Raw genomic sequence first — 8,557 nt, forward strand, 5'->3', positions numbered from 1 at the left:
GATTCCTCTGCTTCTCAGTCATTGCTAGGCCAGAAAAATGAAGTCTGTTCTACCAGGAATCACAAGTTAGAACTGAGTATTCTCCAAAGTGGAAATGATAGGGTATAGCGCCATTTCGGGCAGAGACTATTCAGCTCTCATTTACAACATCCACAATTACCTATCAGAATGGCTAAACCAGGTAACCAGGTCAAAACAGTCCAGTATAATTAGGCCCCATCAAACAATGCCATTATGCTGTTCTAAGATGCTAATAAACCAAAACAGGAAATACTGAAGTCAAAATAAAAGATATTCAACTCTGTCATACAAATTGTTTGTTCCTTGTATCCCCCTGATTCTATAACATTAATAAATGAAATATTTTACTGCAAATAATATTTTATTTTATATCTCGCTAGCCATGCATTTTTGTCATTAGTCACTGTATAAATGCTGCCTTGTGACATTATCCAAATGGCATGACCATTTTACGCCCACAATTCACTTTTATAGTTATAAATGGAATTTTCATGATTTACATAACTACATCTATCAGTGAAGATTTAACATTGAGATGCAATCTAACATTTATAATAACTGATGTTTTATAGACAGTAACGTAGGAAATATACATTTTAATCACTTTTCATTTAAGTGACCTTATGTAAAAAAACCAATAATTTAGCAGTTCCAAATCTCTGAAGGACATTTTCAAGTGTACATATAGAAATAGTTACAGTGAGATTTTTAAGAAGCATCTTCCATGTCCACATCCTGTTGTCATTGCTGTACCATTTTCTCTTCCATCTGCTTTCTTTGCCTGCCAGACGGGCTCCGATAAGATGGATGTTTTGCTTGACTTCTTCGATATATCCTGAACTTTCTGTAGCTCTATTTTTCTTCAATCTGTTCATTGTAAAGTTAGCTTGGCGTTTCTGTTTGATCTCTTCAACTCTCTTCATTGCATCAATAGTTTTATTCCGTAGCTCTCACTGGTATTTGATAGGTTCATTTCTACATTTTTCATATTTAAATGAATTATCCACTGTAAGCTTTTCACCAGCTGCTTTCTGGAATGCTGTAGCCCACATGACCTTGTGAGAATTGCGCTTCTTTTTAAAGTTTTAATGACATTTAAATTTACAAAATCTGAACACCCTGCAATAGTTGTGGACGAACATCATGCCGTGGCCAGGGTGGATGGGCCCCAGATAGAAATAACACTTCTCCATACACATGTTGAACCCGTATGGATCCCCACTGACCAAACACCAAGCTTGAGAGGTGGGAAATGTGTGATTTTTTAGGAGACAAAATGATGTGCTAATCTTAGTGCTTGTTACACCTAAATAACATTAGGTATTATTATTATTGCTATCACTCATTTTCTTATTGAAAATGAGAATGAATTCTCACTAATGTCATAAGGGAATATTTCTTAGGGAAGGCGAGCTCAAATTGGGTTTTGAAGGGTGTGTACATCTTCTGTAGGTAAGTATGGGGGTATATTGCAGTGAGAGCATTCTGGGTAAAACAAATATGTTCCACAGGGACAATAACCAAATATCTTTCTTTTATCACACAAAGCTATCAGCTACTAAAAATATCAACTAAAGAAAGAATGAGTTTTTTTTCATATAACTAGATCCCCCACTTCTTACAAACAAAATGCATGGTTTCCAGAAAATATTTAGAAAACTTAGACAAACTAAATGAAGAAAATTAAAACTACTCAAAATGTCATCTTCAAGATATAATTGTTATTAAAATTTTAAATTTTTAATTGTGGCAAAACATACATAACATAAAATAAAATTTACCACCTTAACCATTTTAAGGGTGCAGTTTAGCAGCATTAAGTACGTTTGTATTGTTCTGCACATAATCTCTAAAAACTCTTTTCATCTTGCAAAATTGAAACTCTGTACCCATTGAACAACAAGTCTCCACTCCGCAGTCCCTCCAGCCCCTGGCAATCACCATTCTACTTCCTGTATCTGTGATTTTGATGATTCTAGGTACTTCGTATAAGTGGCCTCATATGGTGCTTGTGTTTTTGTGACTGGCATATTTCACTTATAATTGATTTCTTACTAGTTTTGTTACCTGTTTTTGTATGGAAATGTTTAGATCTGCCATTGTTTATTTAATCATTTCCCCACAGTAGGACAGTTAGGGGCTTACATTAAAAAACATTATAAATAACCTTGCAACTATTATCCTTATTGTAAATCTTTAGGCCCCTTCATTGTCAGCTCTTTAGGATAAGTTTTTAGACATCCATTTGCTGGGTTATAGGGTATGCTCACTTAGTCTCTTGATAAATACTGCCACCTTTTCCCTAAGAAATGTAGCAGCAATTTTGATTCCTACCAGTGTTGTGAGTGCTGATTTCCATGTCTCTTTTACTTTTCATTTTTTAACCACTTAAATTGGAACTATTTTTGATCCTTCATCAGTCATTGCTTAAAGCCCAGTGAAGTGCAGACTTCACAAGGGATATACCATACACCCACTGTAGCCCAAAGGGCTAAGAAATCAAACTGAGAACTTCATGCTTCAAGAAGTTCAGGGCAGTTAACTTAATCCTGCTTAACCACCAAATCCTAGGTTCCTGGCTTAGGATTCTCTCAGTCTTTGAACGTACAGAAAATCCTGTTATTTAGTGGCCTAAGGATATAGCTTGCATTGACTGAATCTACTCTGTCATCGTTCCTCAAATTAATTCCTAACAATACTGTTGTTAGAAAAACTCAGCAAAGAATTTAATTCAAGTGAAAATGCCAACATGAGAGAAAATCATGTCTAACCCAACATATCATACCAACCAAAAAGAACCAGTCTACAAATAACTTTCTCAAAGTTTGATCTGGGAAGGTACTTCATTAGGAAAAGCAGTATATGTGCACAATAATAACCTATGGTTAGATTTTTTTTTACTGTGTCATGATATAATAATATTTCCAAACACACATACAGACACTGAATTTTCTTGGTCAAATGTCAAGTGCAAATTTATCACATAAGGAGGGTTTGCTCATTATGGTATTTCCTAAATAATCAGTTTTAGAGATTTAGCAAGTAATAAGAAATTAGTAAGCTTGAAGAGCAACAAAAACATTGCATCTGGAGATTAGATTGAATGGAGCACATTGTTGAGCAAGCTTAACAATGTAGAAGATACTGGAAGTGTCCAAAAACATTTGTTAGAGGGAAATATCAACTAATATCTAACTTACACTTGTTTTATAATGCACGCACATGGGCACATGCACATTAAAAAGTAAAGACATGAGGAAAACATTGGAACAGTATTGGTTAAGATACCATTTCCTTTCCAATCTGTACCATGAGTTTCTCTAAGGGCAGGCATGAATTAAGTTTTGGGGTTTGATAGTTCTGAGCAGTGATTCCATCTTCTGTCATAACTGGTGATTTCATTCCCTTTGGCTTGTGTCTGTCTGTAAAACCTTATTTATGAAATTCCACTTGACTTTTCTCCTATCTTCTTCTTTTTATTGTTTGTCACGTGAAGACAGATCCACTGGTGTCAGCACCCCTGACTTATGGTGAAAGCTGAGTGTAGGCAAATCCTGGCTTGGGGCATGATGGTGAGAGCAGGGGTGATTGGGGACTGGAGAAGAAACTTTGAGCATGTATTCTCAACTAGGGCAATCTTGCCCCCAGTGGGGCGAAACTTGGTTGATGAAACTAGGAGGCAAAAATACCTCATTCTTTATGCATAGGCACAGATATACAGTATATCTATTGTATTAAAATATTATGAGAGTGATGATTAGTAAAAAATGTCTAAAAGGCTGGTGGGAGGTGGAGGCCGTAATGAAGAAAGGTTAAGAGGTAGTGACTGAGAGGAAAAGTAGTTCTTCACAAGGCACTCAGCTGCCTAGAAATGACCCAATTTAAGAACCTCTGTTCTTAAAAAGGGAAATATTCATTTTTAAAGGATATTTCCAATGATAGTCCTTTGGAGTGGAGGTTATAGAATAAGTTTCTCTCATTTTCTTTTCTACATCTACCTTTCTAGGATTTCCAGCACAGAGTACAGCACAGGATAAAGGTCTGAATCAGAAATGACAGCCTGCTTATATTTGTGAAAAGTTAAATTAGGCTTTGAAATGATGACCAGCATCATTGTTGATGAGACGACAATGTAGATTCATTGGCATCTATTACATGTTAGGTACTTTGTCTATGGTTACCACCTTAGTTAACATAACCACCCTGCAGAATAGGTATATTATCCCCAGCTAAGCAGCAATTATGTGCCGAACCAGAATGTGAACCCAGGTCTGTGTGACTCTCAAGGAGATACACTTTCCACTGGACCACACCATTCCTCATGAAGCAAACAGTTCAGATGAAGGGTCCCTGGAAAGCCCTCTTGTTCCTTACAGAAGGTTTTTGCTTCTCTGGAGTTTTGACCTTGGATGCTCCTTTAGGTGCTGTATCACTCATATAACTCACACTCTTCTTGCCCTTCAGGTTGTAATCTTAGCCTGTCTTAAAATGGCTCAAATGCAAATGTCTTCACTTTTTTCATTATCACTTATCTTTAATGAGATGCACTTAAGTTCCTAAATGAGGGTCCTTCCATTCTACTTGAATGAACTGTATCACAGAATAACCAGCATTACCACCCAAGCCAAAAGCCTGCTTTCCCAGAAGCCTGTCACTGTAGATGGGCAGCCCTTATGGTTGATAATCTGTATCTTTCCTTTTAAGCCCTCAGATGCTGTTTGGAAATATGCAGTTATGTTCTCCTCTATCATGTTGGTTTTCCAAGGATCCTTCTTCCTATTTCCTTCTCGCTCATAAAAACATTTGGGCCAGGCGCGGTGGCTCACGCCTGTAATCCCAGCACTTTGGGAGGCTGAGGTGGGCAGATCATGAGATCAGAAGTTCGAGACCAGCCTGGCCAACATGGTGAAAACCCGTCTCTACTAAAGATACAAAAAAATTAGCCAGGCGTGGTGGTGCGCACCTGTAATCCCAGCTACTTGGGAGGCTGAGGCAGGAGAATCACTTGAACTCGGGAGGTGGAGGTTGCAGTGAGCCGAGATCACGCCACTGCACTCCAGCCTGGTGACAGAGCAAGACTCCATCTCAAAATAAATAAATAAATAAATAAAAATAGTATATTTTTTGGTTATACGTCCGATTATATTGATTAACCACAAACCAAACATAAATATTCTCATTCAACAAGAAAGGTTTTTGGCTTTCAGCTTGATGTAATGACTGTGCAGGGGAATTTAACACATTCTTTATGCCACGAGGCCCTTTAAAACTTATTATTTTAAGAACTGTTCCTTTAAAATGATGCTGTATTTGGCTCTTTTATTCTGTTACTTTCTGCCCAATAAATACTCCACAGTTTTCGTTTTTCTCCATGTCATTACTACTCTGTTAGCTGAGCCTTGCACTTGTGGCATAAATTTTATTTTTCCAAAATGAAATGTCAGAAGGTTAAGAGATCAAGCAATCAGCTGCTACATCCCTTTTATAACATGTTTTCTTCTATTTAAGAGGCAATATTCTAGCCATCCTAAGATGCAAGAAGACTACATTTTCCATCTTCTTCAACCCTTGTTTCCATTATTTTTTAGATAGGGTAGCCTCATAGCTATCAAGGTTTAAGTGGTAGCTCTGACAGTGGAGGTAGCTAGAGGCTGTTCTGTGAGAATATTTATGTACAATAGAAGACTCTTACTCTCCTCCCATCCTTTTTTATATGATGAGAAGATAGTTTTCCTGGATATCACAACATTTTGTTATTTTAGAGAGAAATGGGAATTTCATAAATATAAATAGATTTTCTTTAAAGCACAGTGCTTTGATTCACAAACTGTATAATAAAATAATTATGAACTGTGTAAAAGTATGCCACTTAAAATTTACTTTCCCATAGCTATAGAAGGAAAAGGTGGTTTAATTAAATGACAATACCAGAAATTTTTTTTCAAAATGTATTGAAAAACAAGGGATATCATGGATCATATGAGATTAAAAAATAGGCTGGATCTGATTCCAGAATTCAAGTTTATCTTCTTCCAGAACAAGTGTTCTTTGACACAAAATGACAACAAAAACAACCCTCCCACCATCCACCAAACAAAAACAAAAGCGATAACAACCAATGTGGGCGGTAGTTTCCTTATAGATACGGTGCATATTTTTCAGTTCTATATTACAAATTTCATCTTATTTCACCTTGACCTTATGCATTTACAGATGACCCTGCAATAGATTATATTCAGTGAGTTTGTGCTTTTTCTTAGCATAGAAGAAAATGGTAAGAAAAATGCTGTAATTTACAAACTACTGATATGGTTATCCTGTTTCCTTTTGTCTAACGGATGCTGTGTCTTCTTCTTTCTTACACACAGACTTGTAGAGTTTTGAAGCTGAATTGGATCTATTTTTGTAGACGAGCAAATCAAGGCTCAGTGAATTAAAGTTACACACTTAGTCTAGCAAAAGAACTGGTAGATGGGGAGCCTGAGCCAGAAAAGTGTGGAGGTCAGCGGAAGAAGACATTTTTCTGTGCTGAGAGAGAAACATCCAAGCAAGAATTCAGGATGTTTAAGATGTGTTTAGAAGATGATTGAAACTCAACATGCATGATTTGGTTTCCGTTTTCTGAGAGAAATGAATATTTATGTCCAATATTATTGTACAAAACCGGTATCTGCCCAGGAGTCCGACCCAGATTAAAATCCTAGCTCTGTCTCTTCTTGTGTACCTGCAAGCAAATGGATACATCTAATTTTCAGTTTTCTCATCAGTAAAATGAGGATAAGTTATATTCCATAGGATTACAGTGAGAATGCAATATAATGTGTGAAGTACTTTGCATTACAAATGGCCCATAGTACATGCTTAACGAGTGACTTTTCATTATCCTTACTTCTCTGGTCTTGGCTGTACATAGGAAGACTGTATGGAATTATGCCCAACCCTATAGCATTATCATGGGAAAAATAAGTGACCCACATGTGTAATCTGAAGAGTTAGGTCAGAGAATAAAAGAATAAAGAGGGAGCGTCTTGAACCTAGAGAAAGTGAAGTGCTCTGCAATGTTCCCGTGGTTAGACTTTGATGTAATTTAATTTGTTTAAATAGGGTAGATTTCTAATAAAGGACAGAAGTATTAGATAAACAAACAGGAAAAGAAGAAATCTTTCTGATCATCATGGTGTTATATATTTAAAGAAGTTAAAGCAACATTATTTTAATTGGAAAGGGGTATGTTAATAGGAACAGAAGGGAGAGCATTCATTAAAAAAAAATTTTGACAACCTCAATTCAATAACTTGTAATAGCATAGTGGTGGTTAAGATTAAGGACTTGGAATCAGACAGATGTGGGTTCACACCCCAGCTCCCCACATGCTGTGCAACCTGGGCAGGCAAGTAACCTCTAAAACTTGGTATCTGTATAATGGTAATATGTATGAGGTTGAATCACATGAAATTACCACTTTCGTAAGTCAAAACCAGTCAAATACTGGATAATTCATATGATTCAACCTAGCTGTGAGAATAAAAAGATAATGTAACTAAAGTTATTACCACAATCACAGGCACTAAATGCTCCATACGTGGCAGTTATTGTTATGTTAATGTGTCCAACACCTGGAGAAAAAAATTACATCACAATTCCTCCATACAATGAAGTAAGATAAAAACAGTTAAAATCATGACTGTGAAGAATAATTAAGGGTATAAAACTATAATCATAATAAAAATGCTAAATTAAAAAAATGAAGATCTAATACTATATATACAATTTCATCCAACTTGTAAAACATATATGCAAGTCTATTTGTTTCTATAGAAAGCTGTCTGGAAGAAAATATATTAAAATGTTAAACACAACCCTTGATAAATGATATTAATAAAAATTATATAAGAATTATATTATTTTCTTTCCCTAGTTTCTTCTCTTTTTCTATAAACTCAGACTACCTTCATAATCAGTAAAAGTATGTACTTTTTCATTCTACCCCTCAAAGTACAAAAAGCTAACAAGAGTTCTTGCCATGTATAGGAATAACACCCTATTTGATAAATGCCATTTTGTTACCACTTTAAAATTTAAAAATAAACATCTTAGGTATTGATTTCTTTTGAGTTCTAATTTCCTTCTGCATAGTGTTTTTGTGTATGTTGTGTATGGCCCAGGGTTAAAGAAAAAACTAAAACATGAGATGTCAAGGCAGAGTTACAGAAACAAAAATTTAGGCTGTTAAGACTAGGGGAAAAGGTGTAGAATTTAAGAATGTGTCGTAGTCCAGCCAGACTGCTATAACAAATTACCGTAGACTGGGTGGCTTTTAAACAAACAAACAAAATTCATTTCTCACAGTACTGGAGGCTGGGAAGTATAAGATCAAGTTGCTGGCTGGTAAGGACCTGTTTTCTGGCTCACAAATGTCCGTCTCCCACTGTGTCCTCACAGAGCAGAAGTGGTAAGATAGCTCTCTTGGGTCTCATTTCTAAGGGCACTAATCCCATTCATGAGGGCTCTACCCTCATGATCTAATCACCTCCCA

The 8,557-nt window shown here is 36.1% G+C and overlaps 1 pseudogene; it reads right to left on the reverse strand.

The window, feature by feature from the left end:
- Positions 1-529: 529 nt before the first annotated feature.
- On the reverse strand, positions 530-1,267 carry RSL24D1P5 (ribosomal L24 domain containing 1 pseudogene 5; annotated as a pseudogene).

The sequence above is a fragment of the Homo sapiens genome, chromosome 12 (genome assembly GCF_000001405.40).
Source record: "Homo sapiens chromosome 12, GRCh38.p14 Primary Assembly".
Lineage (NCBI taxonomy): Eukaryota > Metazoa > Chordata > Mammalia > Primates > Hominidae > Homo > Homo sapiens.